We start from the raw sequence: 26,327 nt of genomic DNA, 5'->3' as shown, positions 1-26,327 counted from the left end.
ATTCTGCTTTTATGGATGAGTACTAAGGCCAAAACTAGCCATGGATAAATAAATTACTACCTTCTCCATATGCCCTAAATAGAAATAACCTTTACAATGATTTTACTTTAGTGTCTACACAATTTTCTAAGATGCTCTTTTGACTTTAGTGTGACAGAGGAAATAAAATAGCTTAGAATTCTTAGCTTCCAGTATATGGTGGCTTTGCTAAGCTGTAATTGGGGTGTGGAGAAAGGCAAAGGCTCTCATAATATCATGTTAAAACTTCAACTGGAACACAAAAAGATGTCCAGGTTATTTTATGGTCGCAATAAAAAATAACCCACTGACTCTTTAGGGTTTCAACTGCAGTTCCACAATTTGAGAGCATTTATTGCATGGCAGCCTAGCAATGAAGAAGGAAATAATAGTATGAGAGATTAATTTTGAAAATATTTAGAGATTAACATAAAGACTTTATTCCCTTTTTGCAAGATGATGTGTGACCAGCCAGAACTCAATGCCGTTTTTACAGTGTATTTTTAGTTCTGAGACTTTATCAGGGAGACTGAAGTTCAGTGTACAATTGGTCACGGCAAAGACCAAGTACATTGAGACACAATTATGCCAGGATGCTAACACTCATTAGTTGTTTGGGCGTGCCTTTTTTGCATGGCTTGCAAGTTTTCTTGCTTGCCCTGGTAAACACTGAGTCATTTCCATGAATCCTCTATCTGATTGGTAAATGGCCTGAGCCACTGTCCCTGGGTGGATATGTCTGCTTTGGGGTAATAAACAGAAAAAGTCAAGGACACATTTGAAAATGAGGTCCAGGCCTTCTGTCCTCAACAGCATTGTTTCTAATTCTGATTTGTCATGGATTAATAATACTGCATTATGCTTTTCAGTTTACAAAGTACCTTTATATCCAAGTCTCCTTGCATTCTCATGCAAGGGGACAAATATACAAAGCTGAGGGGCAGAGAAGGTAACTAACTTGCCCACATGATAAAAGCAGAAGTGAAAGAGTTTAGGTCTGCAGTTCCCACACTCTGGTGTTTATCAGAGTCCCCTTGAGGGCTTGTGTGCTGGGCCCCAACCCAGAGTGTGTGAGTCTGCAGGTCTGGAGTGGAGCCTGAGAACTTGCATTTCTCACAAATCCCCAGGAAAATATTGATGCCGTTACTGCTCCAGGGACCACATCTTGAGGACCATCAGATTAAGAGACAGACCATCTGAGTCCTAACCCAGGGCCCTTCTCTTTAGGCCACGCTTCCCGTGCACCACAAATGGCCATAACTCCCACTGGCTTTCTATCCCCACCGTCTAAACTGATCTTTCTTTAAAACGTAAAACACAAAGTTGTATTTGAACATTTTAAACCTGTCAACAGAATGTCTCCCACTTTATTGAAACACTTTAACAATAATGGAAAGCATATATATGTATTTTTTTTTCTACTGGGAGGGAAAGAACAATTACTAGTCACGGTATTAAAGGTTGTTTGTTAGTTTTTAGAATTTTTCTAGTAGGTTTTCTGATTTTCAATAGAAAACGCCCCCATGAAAGTAAATCAATCAACCAATTGTCTATTTAAAGAAAAACTATAATTTAACAAAAAAATCTAAACTGTTGAGTGTATAGTAGCATTCATGTACATGGCCCCATTTGCCAAAAAGAAACATGTAAGAGATGAAATAAATGTGCAACCTGGTTGGAAATGGTATTTCTATGCCCTGAATCCTAGGTAACTGTTCACAAAACCATGTATCTGAGACATATATTGGAAGAATTCCACAGTATTTAGGAAAAGCAAATTATTTCCACTTAGAAGGGAATTAGCATATTCCAAATTTCCATTATTAAACTTTACTTACCTTAAACCAAACTCTCTCAAATTCAGCACCATTGACACTTTGGCCTGGATGATTCTTTGTTGGTGGGGTCAGGAGGTTAATATGTGCACTATACGATGGTAAGCAACATCAAGGTCCTCTACCCACTAGATGCCAGTAGCACCCCCTTAATTGTAACAACCCAAAATGTCTCCAGACATGGCCAAATGTTGAAAACCAAAACTTTAGGAGAAAAGAACTCAAATTAGTTGAGTTCCTACTCCATACCCCGGAATGTGGGAGCATTTTGCATGCAAGATATTTGGGTTATTTAACTTAATATCGGTTGAGAGATGCTGAGGAAGCCTCAGCCCCCAAACACCTTCCTTCTCTTCCTTGTTGCTAGATCTGAAATCCACTAAATATTTGTTTCCCTTTGGGCTAAACATGTTTGTTTCAGTGAAGTCCTTTAAAGATGGAAGGACGCCGAAAGCAGTAACCCACTACCACTCATATCTCAGTATGACTTTAGTTTAGGGACAATAGAAACAGGAAGAGAGGCTAGAACAAGGGTGCCCAATGTCAGGGAGAAAGAGTAAATAAAAAGCACTGAACAAATTTCACCATCTCCACAAGTTTTCCAGTATCTTTTCCAAAAAAAAAAAGATGGGTCAAGCTGAATTCCTCAAATGTGGCTATCACAATACGTTAGATGGTTGCAAACCTGTCATTTCATAGCCTTGGGACTCTACAAGTTCAAAAGTCTCCTTCCTGTCATTTATTCTTTCAGTCATTCAACAAATGCTTAATGAACAAGATTACATGACCAGTAAACGGTGAGGTGATTAGAAGTAGGCCAGCAGGTACAGCACTGTGTGGTGAGTGCTACGGTAGAAGGATGCAGTGAATGCTATGGGATAATAGAAGAGAAGTATCAATCTCAGCCATGGAGAGCTTGGCATACCAGGGAGACATGAAGTTAGAGCTGTAGAGACCAGATCATGAAGTCTGTGGCATTCCAAGTTAAGGACTTAGTTTGTATTTCATCTAGCAGCTTAGGGAAAGCAATGAAGTATTATTATTTTATTATTATTGTTTTTGAGACAGAATCTCACTCTGTTGCCCAGGCTGGAATGCAGTGGCACAGTCTCGGTTCACTGCAACCTCTGCCTCCTGGGTTCAAGCGATTCTCATGCCTCAGCCTCCCGAGTAGCTGGGATTACAGGTGCTTGCCACCATGCTCTGCTAATTTTTTTGTATTTTAGTAGACACAGGGTTTCACTCTGTTGGCTAGGCTTGTCTGGAACTCCTGACCTCAGGTGATCCGCCTGCCTCGGCTTCCCAAAGTGCTGGAATTACAGGTGTAAGCCACCACGCCTGGCCACAATGAAGTAGTTAAATCAGGGAATAATCTGACCACCTATCAAAATGAATGAGGTAAAATTTGAGATAGAAAGGAGCAAAGGCATATTCTTAAGCTGAATTCCTAATTTTCCTAAGCTAAATGCCTCATAACGCTTAACTCTTTCCTTCAAGTCCCAAGATTGCATCTTTGTGCTGGCCTCATCCTGGCCAGGCCTCCTACCTATCCCACATCCACAGGCTAGAAAACACGCTTCACTGGTTTTTGCACACAACCCTGTGGATCCCATCTATTTATTGTTAATGAAATTTAAGTTGGGCATTATTTATAAAGAGATGTTTTGAGTAATATGATACGCAGATAAGACCACAGACTAAAACTCATCAGACTCTTATCAGAAATTGGAGCAATTCTGGAATTGCCAAATCCTTCCATGGAATGTCAGGCTAGAAATAGAATAGACAGGGTTTGTTCTTATCATTGTAGATTTTCTGACTCTACAAGATTACCTCAGAACAATTAGAAATCATTTCAAATACTGATTCTTCATGTTCCTTTTTTCCTATCCTTGTGATAATGTAGGTAAATTCTGAAATTAGAATAATGGAGTCATGACTCTTAAAATTCTGTGTGAATTCTTAGCATGATGAAAATGTGCTTCTGAAGGGTGCTTCGAGTGAGCATTAGGGAATGAGAGACCACCGGATAACAAAAGTGCTACTAATGCTGTCTTGTATGCCCCTAAACTCGTACATGAGGAGCTGCCCTGAAAGAATCAAAAGGAATGCAATGCTTTTGAATCTGTCTACCATTTCTCAAGGGCCATCTTTACATGACACCATTACTTTCCTTAAGAGACCACGTTTCTGGTAACTTTTCAAATTTCTTCATGTGTGCTTTGAATATATGTAGTAAGCACTCACTAATATTCATCGAATCAATGAATGACCGAATGAATGGTAAATGATGTAAACCTCCACAGAAGGCTAAATAGAAGGCATAAAAGAGGTTGTTGTTGGAATAAACCAACTAGTAGGAATTCCAATTACATTTGTGCAGAAGTGAAATTTAGTCATTGACTTCAAAACATGAAAATTACCCTCAGACAGGAGAAAATAGAAATCATAAAAAGTTTTAATACACATCAATGAATAGTCACAAAATCAAAGAGAACAAGTGTTTTTTTTTACATTTCTATTATTTTTTAATGTTTCATTTTCATTTTGTATTGCTTTTGGAATTGGTTTAAAGGGAAATCACAAATAAAAGCTAAGTAATAGAAAGAATAAATAAATAAGACCCCAAACTAGGTTAAATTCACTGCAATAACAATAATTCAGTGAACTCTGAGTTTCCTGGCAGTTAAAACATGTAGAGTTTTGATTAAAACCAAGAACTGCCTAGTGCTGTCTGGCCCTTTCAGTCATTATTGGTGCTGAGAATGTGGGAAACATGACTTCTAACAGGTACCAAGTACCCATTTGGTGTCACCACTTAAAAATCTATGTGCATATTTACTATAGATGACTAACAATTAGTGGTTCCAGGATATATTCCTTGTTTGTAAATAAAACCCTTGCCAAATCTGTCTTCTCAAATGCACATACCAAGTTTAAAATGTAGCAAGTTATCCTTTTTCTATAATCTAGAAGGATTTTGAAAACCTGTAATAAAGCTGGGGATAGTTGTTTATTTGTATTATAACTCATAAAGATTTGGGGCAGCTTTATTCAGTATTTGCATTAGCCAGAAACTTTGTGTAGTTGTTTTTAAACTTTATTTTAGTTATAATATATTTCAAACCTTAAAAAAAGCTCAGAAAGTAACATATCAAACTTCTTTGTACCCACCACTTAGATTTTAACAAAAATACTTTGCCATAGTTGCTTCAGAGCTTTTGTTTTAAATGAAATGGATCTGAAGATAATCTTTCCCATTAAACTCTTTCTTCATTCCCAGAGATAACCCTTACTTATCCTGAGGTGGCTATATATCCTTCTATACTTTTAAGTTTACTGCATACATATGTTACCATTAGCAATATGTAATCTTGCTTTGTGTGTTTTGAGAATTTATATAAATGCCTTCATACTCAAGGTCTACTTTTGATAATTGCTTTGTTCATTAGACAAGTTTTTCTAGTTTCACCATGTTGATACTTATACATCTCTTTCTCTGATTTTTTTATCCTATATTATTTCAGCATGTAATGCATTTGTTTATCCTCTGCTGATGGACATGTGGGTTATTACTCTCCAAAGAGGTTGCAGCAGACTGTGTGGTTCTGATTCCCATGCAAACCTTGACACTGAACACCATCAAACCTCTGACGTCATCAGACTTTTATTTTTTATTTTTTGAGACAGAGTCTTGCTCTTTCGCCCAGACTTTTATTTTTATAAACTTGAGGCACTTACATTGTCTCACTGTTGCTTTACTGAAATTTTCCTGGTTACTATTGACGTTTTTTGATATTTTGACTCCCTCTCTGTGAATTACTTCATTAATAACCATTTCATTGTGGACATTGAGTGGGAGGAATTGTTTGTTACTTAATTAACAATAGTTGAAATTATTTATATGTTTTGGATGCTAATACATTGTCTTTAATCTTTTCATTTGCATTTTAAAAAATCTGTGGCTTCTCTTTTTTATTTGTTCATGGTGTCTATTTTGATATAGATATTTAAATTTTAATGTAGTGCCATTTCTAATCAGTCTTCTCATTTATGGCTTATGCTTTTTGCGTCTTATATATGGTATTATTTTTCAGAAATTATATAATATTTAATTATATTATATAAATTATATTATGTAATTATAATAAAAGCATTTTCTCTTTTCTCTTTCTAAATGTATTAAAGTTTCGCATTTCACATCTAGAGCTTTAACCCATCTGGAATGGCAAGCCGGATGTCCCAGAACATGTTGTCAGTGTTTCTCCCGTACACCACCGCCTCTCACTCTCCAGTGATCTACAATGTTACCTTCATCATATACCAGTTTTACACAGGCTCTGGCATGTGCCTACAGACACACACACGCACACCCGTGTGTGTAAATGGGTTCACACACACACACATTCTGTCTCTCTCTCCTATATGTGTAAATGGATTTGTTTCCAAGTTCTCTAGTCTGTTTCATTGGTCTGTTTGTCTACTAGTATGCCAATATCATCCAGATTTTATTAATCTAGCTTTATAATAACTTGATATCTGAACAAGAAAATTTCCCCTCCTAATTCTTCTTCAAATTTTTGTTGATCATTCTTGGCCCTTTACTCATCCATATTAATTTTAGAATTAGTTTTCTATCAAGCTCATGAAAAACTCTGTAAGGTTGTGATTAGTTGCATTGAATTTAGAGATTTATTAGATGAGAATTAACATCCTATGATATTAAGTCTTCCTACAAGGACATATGTATCTCTCTTCAAATATTAACATCTTCCTTGTGTGCCTCAACAAAATTTTATAATTTTATCGATAGGAGCTTTCACATCTTTGCTTGGATTTATTCATAGGTAATTTGTAGTTATTTATATATTCTGGAAAAGTTCTTTTTATATTGTGAATACAAGTGCTTTGTCAGATATGTGTTTTGCAGCTATTTTATCTTGGTCCTTGGCTAATTCACATTATTTTTTATTGCAACTAGCTAAGACCTTCCATACAATGTTGAATAGAACTTGATAACTGGCACTCTTGATTTGTTTCTGACTTTGAAGGAAATGCTTCTATCAATACTTATGTTTACTTACAGTTTGAGACAGATTGTCTTTCAGAAAGATTCCTTCAATTTCCATTTTGTTAAAAGTTTTTAAATAATTACTGGGTTGTATTTTCTCTGTTTTTTCAAATTACCATTTTTTTCTTTAATCTGCTGACATGATAAACTACATTAACCAATATTTCTAATGTTAAATACTATGTATAAACACACACATACACACATAGGAGATGGGTTCAATTAATTGCTATTTTATTTGTGACTTTTGCATTTATACTTCTGAAGGAGATAGGCCTTTAAGTTTTCTTTCTAATACTGATTTGTCTACTTTTGCTATGAAGAGGTAATTGGCCTCCTTAAGTGATTTGGGGAGTTTTTCCTTTTTTGCTCTTTTCTAAAACATCTTATATAACAGGACAATTGTTCTTGGAAAGTTTAAGAGGACTCTAGTAAAATTATAGTGGCCTATTCTTTTTTATAACAAAGAAATTTTGGATATAGATTAAATTTATTTATTTTTTCCTTTCTTTTTAAAAAATTATTATTATTTATTTTAATAGGTTTTTGGGGAACAGGTGGTGTTTGGTAGATTAAATTTATATGATGATTAAAAATAAATCTGCTCATGTCTTCTATTTTTTCTTTAATCAATTATAGTTATTTATATTTACCTAGATATTGTTCATTTTTATAATTTGTGTTAAATTAATTGATATTATGTTGTTTAAAATATCACTTAATACTTTTAAATATGTTCTACGTCTGTGTTTATTTGCCCTTTTAAACTTTCTAATTTTGACTATTTCTTTCTTCTCTCTTTTTTTTCAATCAGTCAAGCTAGAGAATGATTTTATTAGTCTTTTCAATAGAAAAGCTTTTGGCATGGTTGTTTTCTCTTTTTCTTTTTCATTAATATATTCCCTTCATTATTTCCTTTCTTCTAGTTACTGTAGATTTACAATGTTATTCATTTCCTAATTTCTTGATTTAAATGTTTAACTCATTTTTAATCTTTCCCCCTTTCTAATTTGTGTTAAAGATTATAAATTTTCTCCAAGTACTAGCTTCATTTTATGATCTTTAAAAGGTAGTGCTTATCTTGTCATTTGATTTTAAATATTTTGTAACTTCAATAACACATTTTAAACAGTAAATTATTTTAAAATGTTTTGCTAATTTTCAAATATATTGGCAGTTTCTAACTATAATTCTATTTTTTTATACTTACTCGTGCCAAGGTATAAGAAAACAGATGTGTATTTCGATTTTCTGGGGCTTTTTGACAATTGCATTGTGACTTTTTGTTTGGTCAAATTTGTAAATGTTAACGGTGTGCTTACTTCAATAATACTATTTTCTAATTTGGGGCTGTAAGTTTCCAATGTGTAACATATATAGTTAATCGTTTTTATTTTGTTTTGCAAAATTTTTCGTGACTTATAAAAATTATTTTTTCTGCTTAGCTGGCTTACTAATTTCTCAAAGAAGTATGTGAAAACTGCAAACCGTGTTTGTTAATCTGTCATTATCTATATCAAGTTTGCCAATTGCTGCTTTACATAGTAGAGTCTATATGATTTAGTTATTTCAGGTTAAGATAGTTTTCTAGTAAATTATTCCTTTTATCACTATTCTTAATAATTCTTTGTCTCTTAAAGGCTTATTTGCCTAACATCAATAATGCTGCATCTGCCTTCTTTTGGTGAATATCTTTTCTGGTATACACTTTTCCTTCTTACCCCTTTCAGTCTTTCATTATTATATTTCAGGAATGTCTCTTAGAAACAGTCTAAGCAAGATTTTATATTTTTATTCCATCTCAGAATATCTTTCTTTAGAATATGGAGTTAAATTAATTCCTATTTCTTGTGATTATTGATGAACATATTACTTCTTTTTTGTTGTTTGACTTCTAGTTTTATTTTTACCATGCTTTCTTTTGTTGGTGCTTCTTTTTTTCTCCTCTTTTCCTGCCTTCTTGAGACGATTCCTTCTTTTCCCCGACTATGCATTGATGTCATATATATTATTTTCATACTTTTACTGGGTACCCATAATTTTAAACTCTGTATTCACAGAGCTTAAAGTTTAACAATATCCCCACATTCCCTCAGAAGAAAACAAAAAACTTAGATCACTCATGCCACTTTTTTTAATGTTATGGTTGTCTAAAATTATAATTCCATATTTTTTTAAACAAACCCAAATTACTCTGTTTAAAAGAAAATAGTCAATGCTTGTTTATTTTTACCCACATGTTTATTTTATTTTTATTCTATTTTCATTATTTTATTTTTTCACCATTGCTTCTTGCAGCCTACTCTTTTCAGTTTCAGCCTCTTTCTTAGTCAAGCACATCATTTAGTAATTTTTTTCAATGAGGGTCTGTGAGTGATAAACTGGCTCAGTCATTTCATGACTGAAATGTCTTTATTTACTCACATTCTTAAGTGTTAGTTGAGTTAGGCATTATTTCATTATCTTCTGACTTCTATTTTTGTTGCCTGAAAGTCTTTTGCCACCCTACTATTCCACAGGAGGGAATATATTTTTTACTCATGATGAGGTAAAAATAAGTTTTCTCTACAGTTTCATTATGATGTATCAGGTATGGATTCACCGTTTTCAGCGTGCTTGGTACTAATGTTCTTCTTCAGTAGATGGATTTGTGTTTGTAATAAACTCTGGAAAATCTCAATCAATTTTTGAATATTTCCTCTCACCCATTCTCTAATCTCATCTTGTGGAGTGTCTATTAAAATCATCCTCTTTCACTATATCTTCCTTGTCATTAACATCTCTTTCAAATGTTTTATTATTTCATCCCTCTATGTAGCATTCTGTGAAATTTCTTCATATTTAGCTCCAGGTCATTATTTTTCTCCGAATTTGTTGTCAATTTGTGTATTGAGTTTTTAGTTTAAATGAAATTCTACATTTTAAGCCGTACCTTGTAGTTTTTCTTCTAATCTACTGTCTGAGTTTTCAGTCTATTTTACATTTTCTACTTAATTTCAACTTTTATTTTAGATATGGGAGGTATATGTGCAGGTTTGTTACATGGGAATATTGCCTGGTGGTGCTGAGATTTGGTGTACAGATCCCATCAGCCTGGTAGGGAGCATAGTACTTGGTAGGTGTATTTTTTTTAACCTTTCCCATGGACCCTCTCATAGTCCATAGTGTCTATTGTTTCCATATTTATGTTCATGTGTGCTCAATGCTTAGCTCCTACTTTAAGTGAGATCATGGAGTATTTGGTTTTCTGTTTCTGCTTCTGCATTAATTTGTTTAGGATTACGACCTCCAGCTCCATCCATGTTATATTATCTTTTAAATTAAGGTTCTTATTTTCAATTTTATTATCTCCTTTGGACATAATAATATCTGAAATTGTGGGGGTACTCATCTTTCTCTTTATTGTGTCTGCTGATTCTCCCTTACAGTGGATCATTCTCCCATATGATTGTAATTTTTGACATCATCATTATATGTATTTTCTTCTTTTGGGGTTCTACACACCAGGGTAGAAGAGTCTCTATACAGTGTACAATGGATTCATTTGCTTTTGGTGGTTGGCCCAGAGATTTCTGTATAAGACAAATCCTTACTTGTGTTTCTTTGCTTAGAATACCAGTGCAGTGTGGAAATGTGCATTAACACGCCACACCTGCAGGCAATTCAGGCTTGGGTTTTGATACTTCATGGGGAAGGTGGAGACTTTTTTGTCCTGCCTAGAGCCTCAAACAGAGACAAATGTCCTTGCTACTTCCATGACCTTGTGTGTGAAGATGACGTTCTTTCCTTCCCTGTGTGGTGGGGCAGCCCCACCAGGGTTAGAACCTTATGTGGATGCCTCAGGTTCAGCTGCACATCTTGAGTGGCCCAAGGCCATATCTTCTTTGTTTTCTGTTCCTGAATAAACATGGAAAACCCGGCCAGGCGCGGTGGCTCACGCCTGTAATGCCAGCACTTTGGGAGGCAGGTGGATCATGAGGTCAGGAGATTGAGACCATCCCGGCCAACATGGTGAAAACCCATCTCTACTAAAATACAAAAAATTAGCTGGGCATGGTGGCGCATGCCTGTAGTCCCAGCTGCTTGGGAGGCTGAGGCAGGGGAATTGCTTGAACCCAGGAGGTGAAGGATGCAGAGAGCTGAGATTGTGCCACTGCACTTCAGCCTGGCAACAGAGTGAGACTCCATCTCAAAAAACAAACAAATAAACAAACAACAACAAACATGGAAACCCTAACGCCTAGCTATTGGTATACAGATCCAAATCTGACATCCCCTGGATTGGTATTCAATTTGTTTGTTCAGTCTTCACTCTGGCTGTTTATGCTGATATCTTGGAGTATATCTTTCTTTATTTTGAACTTATGTGTGTTTAACTAAACCATGTTATATTTCATCAATACGTGTATGCGTTTTATCCAGGAATGGGCTCTGTAATGAGTCTGTCTATCATGTTGCCAGACTGCAAGTGCTCACAGGTAATCTTACTTATACAGATACATATGTTGGAGTACTGTTTTTTGCCATTTATTAGCTGTGATATGCCTTTTTTTCTGCTTCAGTTTTCTCATTTAAAATGCATTTATTCATAACTACTGCATTTGACTGTCATAAGATTTAAATAAAATGATGTATATAAGCTGGGCACAACGCCCACATATAGTAGCCACATAATAAATGTGAGCTATTGGGCGTGGTGGCACGTGCCTGTAATCCCAGCTACTTGGGAAGCTGAGGCAGGAGAATCGCTTGAACCTGGGAGGCGGAGGTTGCAGTGAGCCGCGATCGCACCACTGCACTCCAGCCAGGCGACAGAGCGAGACTCCGTCTGAAAAAAAAAAAAAAAGTGAGCTATTATATGAAATTGATTACTATCGATTAATTTAAATTATGTTGAATATTTATAACTATAGATTTTGGAGATTATTGTAATCGTTTTAATACGTTTTTAATAAGTATGAACTTATGTTTGTATGCAGTGTGCTTACATTTTATTTTCCAGAATCTTAAAGGAAAAAAAAATATTGGGCTCAAAATATCTTCCTTCTGATGATTTCTCAGGATCCATAGGGGCTATGATTAAATAAAATTAAAAAATCTAACAGATAGTGGTACATTTCAAGTTCAAATAGATCCTTTATATGCCTGTGACTTTTCTGCTAGCCTATCTACCTCTCTGATTCAATGTGCTACATCCAAAGCTGAGATCCTTTTCCCTGTGTCCTTGTTTATGTGAGAAATATTTTCAAGGGAGAGATTCAAACAGTTAAGGAAGATCCTTACCTTATAGGCAGTAGGGATCTAGGAAGGGATTAAAAGCCTAGGGATGGTGTAATCCAGTTTGCATCCTAAAGAGATGGCTGTTTTCAGGGAAGATGGGTTGGAGGAGGATGTAGTAGAATTCTGAAGTGGTTCCCAAGCTTTCCACTTCCTGATGTGCACACATTGTGTAATCCCCTATGCTTGAGCTTGGAAGGAACCTATGGATATGATGGCTCCCTTGATTAGGTTACATTATATAGCAAATGATGGTGAGAGAGTCACTCTTGTGCTTAGTTAGATTATGTCTAAGACTGTCTTAGCATACTAGGGTGGAGGAAAGATGAAAGTCAGTGAGATGTGTTTCTGTTGGTCTGGAAGAAATAAACTCTCATGTGTATGGAGAAGACCTGTGGCAGGAATAATAGGTGACTTCTAGAGCTGAGAGTGGTCTCCAGTTGATGGCCACCAAGAAAGCAGGCATTTCAGCCCTACAACTCTAAGGAACTGAAGTCTGCCAAGAGTCACATGAGCTTGGTAAAAGACCCTGAGCTCCAGAAAGGAGCATAGTCCAACTATCATCGTGAATACATCCTCATGAGACCCTGAGTAGAGAATCCAGCAAACCTCAACCTGACATCTGACCTACAGGAATCATGAGATAATAAATAGGAGTTGTTTTAAGCTGCTAAATTTGTGCTAACTTTATACATTGCAATAGACAAGCCTGTCCAACCTGCCTTATTTTGTTGTTGTCATTGTTCTGTTTTATTTTAAGCTTTTTAGCAGTGAGAAGCTATAGTTTTTAGTTTCTGTCTGTACCCATATTCTGAAGAGCGATGAGGAAGGGACTTTACTGGCCCAACCAGAAACAGAAACTAAGAACCCATGACTGCATTCTCTCCCTTGGACACCCTAGTAAGACAGAGAGATCAGTTGGGTTACTGTAACGGCTCAGTCCCAAATGAGACAGATCTAGATTAACACTGAGTGTTCTGGAATGGAAATGATGACAGTGTTGAATGAAGATAAATTAAGAAGGTAGACATGAACTTAGTCATCCAGTAAATGTCAACATGGAATGTCCCAGAATGGCCTTAAGGTTTTGGGGAAGATCTTGATTCTTTTAACCAAATTAGAGAAAACAAAGGTGAGGAAAAGTTTTACTAGGAACATAATGAGTTCAGTTTGGGACTGTTAATAAAAATGGTCCCAATTATTTCTCTCCATGTGAACATGCTTCTTTGCAATGGATCTTTGCAGTTCTTACCACCAAGAAGTGGAAACCCATTCACTCCTCTTCTCCCACCCCTTGAATCTGGGCTGGACTTGAGTCTTGTATTGGCCAATAGAATAAAGAGGAAGTAATGGCATACCAGTTCTAACTCTAGGCCTCAAGAGGCCCTGAACACCTTTGCTCTTTCTCTTGGTACCATGCAGCCCCATGTGAGCAACTCTAGTTTAGCCTACTACTGGATGGAAGACTACATGCAGCAGAGATAGGTCATCCTGACTTATTCTGGGCCAGGCAGGCCTCACCTTAGCAGACAGCTGACCACAGACACACGAGTAAATCCAGCCAACACCAGAACAACCACCTTGTTGAACCCAGCCCAAATTGCCAACCCACAGAATTATGAGCTAAATTAGTAGTTATTGTTTTGAGCCACCAGGTTTTGGGGTAGTTTAAAATACAACAAAAGCTGACTTTTACAGACATTAATTTTGAGGCACTTATGAAATATCCATTTAGGTATGTTCAGTGGGTAGTTTGGGTTCTAGACATGGATGATAGCAGAGCGGATGATGTTCTAGATAGAGATTTAGGAGTGATCAGCTTAGGGATGAATGTTGACATCAAGGATGAACATGAGTATAGTTTTTAATTTTCTGAACAAGATGTCAATTTCTTGATGATAATGGCTATTGTTAAATATTGTTCTTTATTCAGCTCTACTGCCATTATTTTTAAGGAAAAACTATCATGAGATGAACAATTAGGAGAAGTGCCTATGAGAATAATCAACTTTTCTCTTGAGCTTATCTGAGGTGTTAATGCAGCTTGAATCATTCCTCTCAGAATGAAATGTTTGGAAAACAAAGTTTAAATTTGCCCTTTCACTAGAACAGTTTTTACCTTTACTGTTCTACAGGCTAGTGGACCATTCTACCCAAGGCATATCCATGCATAATGTATGCTACTCAAAAGAGAGAGATCAGCAACAGTCAACCTAACTTGCAAGGTCTTCTTTTGATCCTTGTGATAACCTTGTGAAGTTGGTATTAGGATTATCCCATTTTCCAGGTGAAGAAATGGAGGCTCCCGAGTTTAAAATGATGCTCAAGATTACCCAACAATTATATTTAAGAGCCAGGATTCGAACCTGGTTTTAAATCAAAGTCTCTCACTCTTTCCACCTCACTACCACATCCCAGAAGACTTTTTGAATGTATAATCGAATTCAGTTCTCACCACTATCTTGGGAGGTACTCCTAGTCATCCAAAAACCTCTTTGCCTTATATATCTTTTTTTTGTCCTCTCCAACACACTATTATACAGATTATTTTACCCTATCTAAAATCCCTTGTAAGCCTCTCCACATGGCCCAAGAAATAGGGCAGAGCCAGACTGGGTTATGCTTCCAAGTGAGTCACGCTAACCTATCTTGTCATTAGAAATGGCTCTGAGTCTTTATCTGCCCACACACTCTAATTAATGATCATTTAACTGTACTGTCAACTCTGTTTAAATTTGAGTGATACCAGTTGTTTCTTCCTTGGGCCAACCAATAGCAACAGGGGAAGGCATTCATGCATGCCATTGTCCGGGTGGTTCTGGGCCTATAGCAGCCCAGTTTAATGGGCATTCAGAGCTCATTAGTGAGGAAACACATCAGGAGTGACCGCTCCGGTGCCACACGTTGCAACTAATAGCCCTGCCGAACAGAATCGTTTCTGTTTCTGCTCAGTTGTTGTGAAATTCTTTCAATGTCAACAAGTGGTCGTGTCGGCAGGAGCCCGCCATCCTGCCCAGCAGTTTTATCCGTTGCTCTCCTGAGCCAGACTTGTGTCCTCCTCCATTGTCCAGCCCCACAAAGGAGCCTGAGCAATCACAAAGCCTTCACAGCCATTCATCATCAGCTCACCGATTCTGCGGGCAAGATTGCCCGCCAAAGTTTGGGCCAGTCCTGTGGGGATGGCATGTATGGATACACAGGCAAGACACACTGGGCCTCTGCCCCCTGCCTTGGGTATCTGAACAGACAGAGAACAGTACAGACAGTTTGATTTCCTCATCCAAGCAAAAACCAAAATTACATGCAATATGGAGAATCAGACTAAAAATGCACTTTGAGCAAAACAAAAAAATTGCAGGTGTGGCAAGCTTGGGTAAATTATTCCATCTGGCAAAAATATTCTGTAGTGGAAAAGAGAGGAAATTCTAATCAAAGTGGGCATTTGGCACCAAGAGTCAGCAATAGGTTTATCTACTCAAGAGATGCATGTTCTCTTATTCACAAAAAACTTGGTATATTTGCTCAGTCCATAGAAATGAAAGTTGTCTATAAAACGTCATGCAAACTTTCTAATCTATATTAGGGTTTTAGAAAAAAAGGGTTTTTATCACCAGGTTGTTGAGAATTGGTCCTATTTGCTTGAAATACAGAAGCACTAGAAAATGGTTTCCCAAGTATACTATTTTAAAATCATAAGAAAAATGCCTTATATTTTAAGTAAGTAAAATAAAAATCTGCTCTCCTTGGATGTTATACTTTCTTCATTCTTTCAGTGTTCTCTGAAATAAATATCTGTTATAATTGGCTTCGTATTTGACAAAGTAGGCAATGGTCAAAGTGATAAAAATTCTTAACTCCTTAGCTCACCCTCCAAGCCCCAGTCCTGGCCTCTGAATGTCTTCAGTGTCCAGTATCTGTATGCTCTTGTAAATACCTCTTTCCTCCACTGGATTTTTAAATTATTGGTTTGTGCATCTGTATCCCTTGCTAGACAAAGAGCTGCTATAAAGCTATTTCTACTTATTGATAATTTTTGGTTGACTAAACACATAGAGATGAGTAAATGCTCAATAATTGTTCAGTTAGGTAATCCACATCACAAAGTTGTCAAAAAGTGAACTATGTGTTTGCATTTTCCATCTAGGAGTCCAACAAAATATGATCAGCTATTTAATATTTTGGAGCATTTAATATCCAGGTCATATTTCAACTCACAGCCCTTGCAAATGTGGAGCTTTAGGATACAGTAGTTAAATAAAAATTACTTCCAGATCAAATATTTATGGTAGGATGAACAATTTTTTTTTATTATCTACATTGTCATTGACAAACAATATCTAACTGAATTTCTTTTTTGTTTTCCTCTTAAGATGTGCTTTCCCTTCTGCTATATCTGTTATCTTTGTTACCATCACCTTAGCTTCCAGTTATTGAGAACTTACTATGTGCCAGATACTGCTTACAACTCCAGTCTTTGCTCAATCAAATCCACCCAGTTGCTTTTATTCATTCCATGAATATGTAGGATAGCATGATGGTTTTGCAGTCCCTGTAGGCATTATTATAGGTGGAACTCTTTGCAAAGCCTGCATTTTAAAAGATTCTGAAATACTTTTGTGGGTGTCCTGTTTCAGATGCTAGAAAGATGCTAATGGACCCTTCTGACTTTCTTTTTGGTGCCTCTCTTAGGCAGCATTTTCAAAAGATCACTAACTCATACATGGGCTTTACCTCTCTAGATGAAGCTGCACGATGTCAAGGTAAGCAAATGACCCTTGCTTCTTTTCAGGGTGAGAGATGACATGCATTGATTTCCAAAGAAGTTCCCAGATGATGGCTGAAACGCAGACTTTGAATTGTTTTTGCAGTTATTAAAATAAGAAAAACCAATAATATATGAAGTCTTTATTTTTTTAAAAAATAGTTTCTCTGGTATCTTTAGTAAGTTGGTTCTGACCTACACAAATGTCATTTGTTTGTAAGAGCTGTATATGAATTACTTCATTTAATCCTTCTAAGGATTTTATGAGGTAAGTCTTAATATTATCTCCATTTAACACATTAAAAAAATGATGCCTAGAGGAGCTAACCAATCTGCCCATGGTTAGGTACCTAATAGGCCACAGGGCCAGGTGTGATTCTCCTTTCAGGGCCTATGTGCTCAACAAGTGTACATATTTCCATTGGTTTCCATTCTGAGGCCATGGCGGAACCATAAATTTACCTTGCATCCTTTGGCAGTTGCAGATAGAAATTTCCTTAAATAACTTTCTTGTAATGCTAGAACTGCTTTGGCAATATTGACCCAATATTTCCAGAGGGATGTTGTCTAAGAAAGCCTTTCTAAATGCAACTTGCAATCTCCTGTTCTTCAGGTCATACGAGGACAGCTCTTCACCTGTATGACCACCTTGAACTTTTCACAATAGGACATGAAGGTGTTTGTTTTGTTTTGTGGCTTGCAGTCCCCACAGCGTGTCACAGAGGAAGTGATATGGAACTATTATCAAAAGCAGCTTTTGTGTCCCATCCGCATGAGTGGGGAATGAAGGGCTTTGCAGCGCATTTCTTTGGGGGACTTTAAAAAGGATAATTGAATTGTTTAAATCAAATTTGGGTGCCTCTGTCACAAATCATTACCTGTCTTTCCTCTATCTATCTCCTTGTTTTTCAAATTAATGGCACATACCACACACTGACCTCCATTAGCTTAATTTGGTTGAGACATTTTCCAGTCTGTATCATCAAAATGAGAGAGAAAATTATGTTGGCCAGGGAACCATCTGTACAGTGCAAAATGTTAAAGCAGCAGGCATTTTTCTATATTTTCTCATTTTTGAAAGACTCTGTAGACAACTCTAAATACTTAAAGTCACTAACTCAACACATTTCTCAGATTACTGATTTGGATTTCATAAATGAGACTCGTATTTCTGTTGCCTAGGATGAAATTCAAAATATTCTTATATTCGAATCCTAAGACATGCACTACATAAAGAATGCTAAAGCCTTTGTCTACTTAATCAGATGTTTCTCTTAATGGAGAGTGCTATATATAGCTCTCTGTATTCTCTAGCATTTCACAAGAAGTGCTATGAACTAAAATCATCTCCAAACCCACCGGCTCAACACAATCAATTTTTAATGTGTTGACACATTAACTAGAGCTAATTGCTTTCTTTTGTAAACTAAGTGATACTCTAACTTTCCAGTTAGGTTAGTTATTTTCAATATATATCTGAGATTAAGAAATATGATCTGTAGATTAAATGGTCATAAATAATTCAATTTAGCATAAACTTTTAGTATGTCTTCCAGTAATTTTGCCAGGCTGTGAGGACACAACATTGAGAGGAAAGTACACTCTTTAGTAGAGAAAATGTACAGTGATTGTTTGCCTATCAACATCACAATATATTCAAAAATCTCTTTATAAACACCATATAGACACAAGGAGGAAGCCTGGTGAAGTACAGTGGAAAAGTGGCAAGACACTAGTTGTTGGCCCTGGTTCTTCCTTTACCAGCTGTGTGACTGCAAGCATGTCACTAAACTGTGCCAGGTCTCAGCTTCCTCATGTGTTAAACCAGGGCCTTGAACAAGGTGTAAGTTTCTCCACCCATCCTCCACCAAGGACCCTTTAAATATCTTTTCCTCAGCTTCCTTATGTTTTGAAAGAACTCTTTCAAATCTAAGAAGTATTTATTGATTATTTGCTATTGTTCATTAATAATTACTTTCTACCAAAAATCTTTATGGAATTGCCAATCAGAACTTTTCATAAATACGGGACCACAAGGTTGCCAAGCTAATTTGATATGATTGTAACTGAAATCAATAAAATCATACGTTAGTAAGTCAAGGCCAGAGGTGCTCAAATTTTTTCCTTTCATGGCACCCTTGAGGACTCAAAAATTTTTTCACAGTGCCTCAAGGCCAAAATAAATATCTAAAAGTTCTGTTTATTAAGTACTTGGGTCCGAACAACTTAATAGGCATTTATGTCCTACGAATTTTTATTCAAATGATAGCCATTTTAATAAAAAATACACCTAAATTGAAAAAAAATTATTCCATTCTTATAAAGCCATGATTATTTACTAACAAAAAATGTGTGCTTGTTGGGCACTGTATGCCTTTACAAACCTTGTAATCAGATAATTTCCTGTTCTACATTCACTTTCAGATGGCACCTGATTGCTTTTTACGGCAGCAATGGCCAAAAACTCAGTTTTACAAAAATAGATTAGCAAAAGAAACGGAGCACAATCCAATTTTGAGACCATGAACTACTTTGAGCTAGAAATGTGCCTGGTGTCTGACAGATGTTGAGTGTTGCTGTATTTTCCATAAATTTAGAATTATCCCTCAGTGCCCCATGAGTTCACTTCAGCACCCCACCTCAACCCCAGTGATCCCTGGCACACAGTTTGGGACCCACAGAACTGGGCAATCTTATCATGGTCAAATGTGTAATTTTCACTAGGTTTTCAGAAAATTGTTCTAATAAGACTTTTAGAGACCTCACATCAGGAACCACTAGACCAGAAGCTCTTCAAAGTCCTCCCGTTCAACTCTAATATTGTGGCATTTATTCACTCAATACTTACTGAGCACCTACTATGTGTCAGGAATTGATCTAAGCTCTTAGGACACAACAATTGAACAAAACAGATAAAAACCCTCTGCCTCCGTGGAAATTTTGTTCTAGCAGGGAAAGACAGAAAAATAAAATTCTCATAATAAATAAGTGAGGTGTATGGTATGTTGGAAGGCAATGCATTGTAGGGAATGAAGGGTAAGGTCAATGCAATTTTAAACAGGGCCATTGGGAGTAGATCTTATTGAAAAGGTAACATGTAGGCAGACTTGAAGCAGGTGACTCAGTCCTACCCAAATCTACAAGAGGAGTGTTTCAGGCAAGGAACAATGGGGCACAGGAGCTAAGGCAGAAGAGTACCTGGTGTGTTCAAGGGCAGCAAGGAGACCAGTGTGAAGGGATCAGAGCTACCAAGGAGTGGCAAGGTAGGAAAAGAGGTCGCAGATAAAGTGGGGCTGGAGGCAGAACAGGCAAGGCCTGGTAGAGCAGTATAAGAGCACTAGACTTTATTCTGAACCTGATGGGGCTACTAGAGGTTTCCAATGAGGGTATGACATGACCTGACTTACGATTTAATGGGATCACTTCAGCTGCTGTGTTGAAATAGACTATGAGGGAAGGGACCAATCAGGGGGCTATTACCATAATCCAGGTGATAGTTGGTGGCAGCTTAAAACAGAGTAGCAGCAGAGGTGGTAAGAAACGCTGGCGGGATTTTCCAATTGATTCTGGGATATAAAAAGTGAAGTCGAAATCACCCCAAGATTTTGGACCTGTGGTAAAATTAAATACTACAACTTTAAATTGTTTTAATTGATTTTATGCAGTCCATAGAATAATAAAATTAACTTTGATGTTGCATTTTTAATTGCTTCTAACCTTTTATACTCAACACTACTTAGCTCAGGAATTGAACAGCTTTACTAGATGATTACTTCAGAACACATTAACAGCAGTTCAATCCAACCGGACACATGACACAAACCACAGATATTTAATGAAGGAAATAATCTTTTTTCCAACAAATGTGTATCTTGAATTTTATGTGGCAGGCAACATCTAGGCTTTCTAGATGATTTAAAGAGGAATCTATTCTATTCCTACTTTCAAGGGTCACACCATTTATGAGGGTAAATAAAACATGTACATATAACGTATTTAAAGATAAAAGGGTCATAAATGAGGTGCTGATGAAGAGCTGTGGAAAGTCAGAGGAGGAAGAGATGACTCCCAGCTTTTTATGTGAAAGGAAGGTACCAGGGGAAAGAACTCATGAATTAAATGAACCTCTAGGAATGAATACCTAGAAATACCTAGAACTGAATCCTGTTGAGATAATAGGGAAGAATAGCCTCTGTGGTCTATGGATTAAGACAATTCAGGAATGGATTGTTCCCTTTAAGGCTGGTAGGAGGTAAGATTGGTTTTGATACCTATATAGTAAAGCCATAAATGGGATTTGAACTTCATTCAATATGAAAGGGAAGACCACTCAAAGTGTTTTAATAGGGAACTAACTTGAAAGAATCCAGACTTGAAGAAGGTTAGCCTGACAGCAAAGGGCAAAATAGGTGGGAGGAATGAGAAACCAAGGATGTAATGGCATAAGTAAGATGGTCATAAAAACCTGATATAGGCTAGTGGCAGGGAAAGTAGAAACAAAGTCATTGATTTAAGAGATTTTAGGGCAAGTTGTTTCTCCCACCACTGTCTTGACCAGGAGGAAAATCTTGAGCAGATCCCTCTCATATCTAGCCAAATACACTTTGGACTTTTCCTCCCACAGCACCACGCCCTCCCTTAAGTATACAGACCAGAGTCCATTCTCCAACTCAAGAGGTGAGTGGGAGAGGAGAAGTTAGCAAAGTCAGTGAAAGGAGGCTGCCGACACAGAGGACTGAGCAAAGTCTTAGGACTTAGGACATCTAAGTCTTGAGTCACTTCTGCTGGCTACTATCCACAGATTAGCACCAGATGCTACCATGAAGAACCATTAATAGAGCTGCCCAGCATGGCCATGTATATTGCTTGCTGAGATGAAGCTTCTGTGAGCAGTGAACACTGGCTTAGATACCTGCGGTTCATGGGCTTGGTTAAGGATGATGTCTGTCCCCAGGAATGCAGGCTGTGCAAGTCCTGAATGTGGTCAGTCCTGGTATCCTTGTCCTGGAGCCCACCTAATTCCCTCTTTATTCACATCCCCTTTGTTCCTCTCACCTTTCCCTCCAACCCAAGACTTCCTTATCTAGTGTATATGCATAAGGGAGCTGAAATTGACTACAAATTTCTCCACATATAATGTTTACACTGAGTTCTCTTGGAGTCTTGGCTTTCGAACTCAAAGACCAAGGATTGTTTTGTTCTGTGGAATTTCTTTACTGCCATCTGGATGGCAGTCATTGTAGGATAGAATGTGTAAATGGGCATGGCGGGGAAGGGACAATGGAATGTACTCTCCAGTTCATCACAAAAATATCCTGCTGCAAAATGCTGCAGAGATTGAATCTATGGACCTTAAAGCAGGTTTAACAACAACCAACTCAGACATGGTCAAGCTGAATTGGAGACTCATAGGACAATCTTGAAAAATAAGAAACCAGGTGTGAGAAATGAATGACTGCAGCAGCCTTGGCTTGAGATTGATTCAAAGTTTTCTTTATAGAGGAAATAGTAGGAATCATGGGATAGGATAGAAATGCTAAGAAGAAATGTTGAAAGAAAAGAGAAGGGATGCAGGAAACAGAGTCCTATGCAAGGCCAGAAAAGAGAAAAGATGCCAAAGTTATAGCCCTAAGAAAGGTCCAGAGATGTGGACAGGAAGTGGTGAGAGGAGTCAGAAGTGAAACAGGGAAGAGGGAGACCCAGGATGGTGGCGCATCACACAGGTGTCAGGCTAAGTGTTTCTGGACAGAGCGGCAAAGAATCGTTCTTGCTATAGCAAGGTTGAGGAAAAGGGTTTGGCCACTTAGATGTCCTGGCAATAGCCTTGACTGTGAAGTAATCACTTATTTCTATATGTGATTATCTCATGATACAGTCCTTAACAAATGCTGTAGCAATGGCTTGAAAATTCTTCAGTTGGTACTTCATGATATTCTATTAATACTGGCTGGATAGGGGAGGGTAGAGATTGGGTGATGAGTGTGGGGAAGGCAGGAGAATACGTTGCACTGAAGTCATTCAATAAATAAATAGCATTCTTAGAATGTCTCAGATGAATTGTGAATTACTGTAAAAGGTGTTATTCTGTTGTTATAGTAATGCAAGCAGCAGCTCCATGTAATTAAGAGGTCTGTTAACTTAGACCTCATGGTGAATATTTTCATGCTGTAACATCAAAAGGACTGGAACTCCAAGGTTACTCTCTGGTAGGTAAGTGTCACAAAATCCCAAATTCATATGCTGTTTTTTCCCCCCGTGCAAACTAACAAAAGAGTGTGTGTAAGGAATTTGAGATTAGTTCTGTCTATTGTTAGCTCCCTGCATCTTCAAAGCATATCCCCCGGAACATCCTACCAGAAAGCGAATGATAAACAAACAACTCGTTTACTTCCTGCTCTGTTCTCCAGTGACTAAGACTTATGGCTGAGAGGTAATAGAAATCTCTTGAGTCCTGTAGATATTGGAGGAAACTAACATCCTTTGTGGTATCCCCAAGAAATTTTACTAGTCAGAGAAAGCTATTTTCTAACAAACAAGAACATAGCAAACCAAACAAACAAACAAAAATCTGCTTTTCCCCATATATTGATCCTTCTCTGCAAGTGCTGTGATCAGTTACCACCACAGCATCTGTTACAAGTACTTGTGATGACAGTCAACCTGCCAGAGACCTTTCCTACTGATAGGCTCTTCTCTAATAGATATGACAAACCAATAAATTAAATAGTTTAAAAGAGACTTTTCCTCGTGGTGAGGACAAGATTTGGTCTTGTAAGAAAACAACATTGTGCATTCAATGTTGTTTCAATCTTGGAAAAAAAGGTGATTTCAAATGAAATCCATTATTGTTTAATGCGTTTCTAAAAGCAAAAGATGGATGAAAACCCCAAATGTCTTTTAAATGAAGGACAACAGATCTCTAAACTAGGTAACTGATGCATAAATAACAAGAATCTACCCCTTCATCATAGTACATGTGGCTGACAATCGAATGATCCCAGTTTCCAGATTAATTACAGACCTGCATTTTCTTCTACTAACATGAATTTTTTTAGATGGAACTTTACATGTTTTCTGTTTCTTTCTCCTGTTTCTATCCCAAACCAAAGAGAGAATAGCTTCTCTATCATTTTTCCATACCAGATACAAAAACAAAATGAGGAGAACGACAAGAGTGCTCTGTGACTCCAAGAAAATGTTTGTTCTTGTATCTTTTTTTTTTTTTATTTGAGGCAAGAGGGGGAAAAAACTTCACAGAGGAGTAAACCTGAGACACTGATTCAAGAGCCAGACAGTTCAATGAACAGGATAATCGGGGTAGTTTTTGACAGGTGCGGCTGCCTGCCTATAGCTGGCATATAATCATTACCATTTTAATAAAGCTCTAATAGGGGGCTGATCATTCAATGGGGTGTGAGGATCCTAATTCAGCTCCCAATCCCACATGAATGTGCTAGAATTTGCAGGCTTTGTTTTCCTCTTTTGTACCCCTGAATGCCAATAATTACTGGCTATAGATTCAAAAATTCTTAGAACTGGAAGCTAAATTAGCTCTCCTAATACTGCACAAGAATGTCAATACTCATAAAAAAGGAAGCAAGTGGTTTTTTTGTATTCTTTTTTTTTTTTTACACTTGTAGGCATTGTGAAGACCAGCAGTTGAAGTGGGCTGGCTTACAGCATGAATAATGACATTACTGTCTCTCTCATGAAGAGCCCTCCCTCTCTCAGGAACAAAAAGTTATCCATTGGTTCTAATAAAATAAGTCTTCTAAAATCATACATTGATTTTTAAGTCTCTGCTTTTCTTAATGTGAAAGAATCCACGTCCTCTCTCTGGTCTGGTTTAAAGGCAGAATTTGTAAATATTCTACAACTCCCGGTTGAAATGTAGGTATCTTCCTGGGGAAAAAAAAAATGCCTTAACCTCCCTAAAGCCTATCTCCAAAGAGAATATTCATAATCAAACCACTTGGATCATAGGTGGAATTGTAATTATAACTATTATGATATTGGAGATCATTATTTACATAGCTCAATGGGCAGAACCCCATGCTTAATGTCTTCTATGAGATTTTTCATCTGATCTCTCAACACCTCTATGAGGTGGATTTTTTTTAGGCCCATTTGCAGAGGGTGACACTCTGAGTGATTAAACATTTTACCCAAAGTTACACATCTAGTAAGTGCTGGAGCAAGGACTCAAACTTCCCATTTCAATCTGTGTTTCTTCTAAGGGCCATTTTTCTGAAGCTCCTCAAGGCTTCAGCATTTAATTCGGTGGTGACTGTGCCTCATCCCGAATCCCATCCAATGTCACAAGGTGCCATAGCCATTCACTTCCCCTGTGTCGCCAGAAACGTTTCCTCCATAAAACCAAAAAAACCTGATTGAGATCATGCTGTGGCTGATACTAGGAACAAACAAGTGCATTTGAATTTTCTTCCTTCAGGCATCAGACCACGCTAAACAAGTCATGGAGAATGAAATCTTAGCAAGAAAAATTTAATTGTTGATAGCTAATCTTCAGAATAGTTCATCTACACTGATGACTTGCTCCATTGCTATCCTTTGAGATCTGTGCAGGAGCTGCCCTGCTGGCTCTGGGTTCTAATACAGTGTGTGTGGGTAGCAGGTAGATAATATCACACACATGCTCACTTTAAAATCTTTTCGGTGTCCATTGCAGACAAATGGAGGTTTTCCAGGTAACTGTCTTTCAATTCCAAAAATACTGACCCTCACCTTCAGGCCCTGTTTTGTTTTTTAATATATTTTATTCATAAAACTTTTAACTAAGAGACACTTTAAGTTTTTCACTTTTCAATAAGCAAACTGACATTCAGAGAGTTGAAGTTTCCTGACCAATGTCACACAGTAGACAAGATGCCAGAATCCAATTTTCATGATGTTTCAGAATTAATTTCACTATGAATCAAGATGGCTGGGAATCTTTAACACACACACACACACACACACACACACACACACAGACACACACACCCTCTTAATAAAATCTCTACAAAGTACACCCACCTCATGTGAAGCATCACTAAGAAAAATATATTGTTAGGTCTAATTCTCATATGAAATATTGGAGTCTCATTACCGATTTCTTACGGGCCAGTATGAATCAGAAGAAGATACGCCCTGTAAAGAGATGTCCATTGACAGTACATATTTATTTTCCTAAGTGTTCTAGGCTGACTCTGTGTCACTCAGTGCCATTCTGTATTAGTTAGCTGTTGCTGCAAATGAATTGCCTCAAAATTTAGCAGCTGAATGCAACAATACATTTTCTTTTAAAAAATCTCACCATTTGTTTAGGCCAGAAGCTCAGGAGCTGCTAAGGTGAGTGGTTCTG

General features: G+C 37.2%; 1 protein-coding gene and 1 non-coding gene across 4 annotated transcripts in view, besides 6 other annotated features; both read left to right on the top strand.

Moving 5' to 3' along the window:
• C12orf42 (chromosome 12 open reading frame 42) overlaps positions 1–26,327 on the top strand; it is a 516,167-nt gene that overhangs the window by 448,216 nt on the left and 41,624 nt on the right. The gene's annotated exons all lie outside the window — the stretch shown is intronic.
• Positions 921–970: an enhancer, noted in NCBI's record as "active region_6889". NCBI's record gives its function as "activates an Ori minimal core promoter by ATAC-STARR-seq in GM12878 lymphoblastoid cells {active_cell/tissue: GM12878}" and the evidence as "EXISTENCE:reporter gene assay evidence [ECO:0000049][PMID:35858748]".
• Positions 1,071–1,120: an enhancer, noted in NCBI's record as "active region_6888". NCBI's record gives its function as "activates an Ori minimal core promoter by ATAC-STARR-seq in GM12878 lymphoblastoid cells {active_cell/tissue: GM12878}" and the evidence as "EXISTENCE:reporter gene assay evidence [ECO:0000049][PMID:35858748]".
• LOC124903096 (U7 small nuclear RNA) lies at positions 1,477–1,541 on the top strand. Its single transcript, XR_007063619.1, has one exon. It is a non-coding gene; the product is annotated as a U7 small nuclear RNA (small nuclear RNA).
• Positions 9,373–9,422: a silencer, noted in NCBI's record as "silent region_4777". NCBI's record gives its function as "represses an Ori minimal core promoter by ATAC-STARR-seq in GM12878 lymphoblastoid cells {active_cell/tissue: GM12878}" and the evidence as "EXISTENCE:reporter gene assay evidence [ECO:0000049][PMID:35858748]".
• Positions 12,656–12,765: an enhancer, noted in NCBI's record as "active region_6887". NCBI's record gives its function as "activates an Ori minimal core promoter by ATAC-STARR-seq in GM12878 lymphoblastoid cells {active_cell/tissue: GM12878}" and the evidence as "EXISTENCE:reporter gene assay evidence [ECO:0000049][PMID:35858748]".
• Positions 12,866–12,945: an enhancer, noted in NCBI's record as "active region_6886". NCBI's record gives its function as "activates an Ori minimal core promoter by ATAC-STARR-seq in GM12878 lymphoblastoid cells {active_cell/tissue: GM12878}" and the evidence as "EXISTENCE:reporter gene assay evidence [ECO:0000049][PMID:35858748]".
• Positions 23,834–25,011: an enhancer, noted in NCBI's record as "VISTA enhancer hs967". NCBI's record gives its function as "enhancer in: forebrain[4/4]" and the evidence as "EXISTENCE:transgenic organism evidence [ECO:0001131][PMID:17130149]".

This window comes from Homo sapiens, chromosome 12, assembly GCF_000001405.40.
Source record: "Homo sapiens chromosome 12, GRCh38.p14 Primary Assembly".
NCBI classification, from domain to species: domain Eukaryota; kingdom Metazoa; phylum Chordata; class Mammalia; order Primates; family Hominidae; genus Homo; species Homo sapiens.
This window is presented reverse-complemented; position numbering and strand designations above follow the sequence as displayed.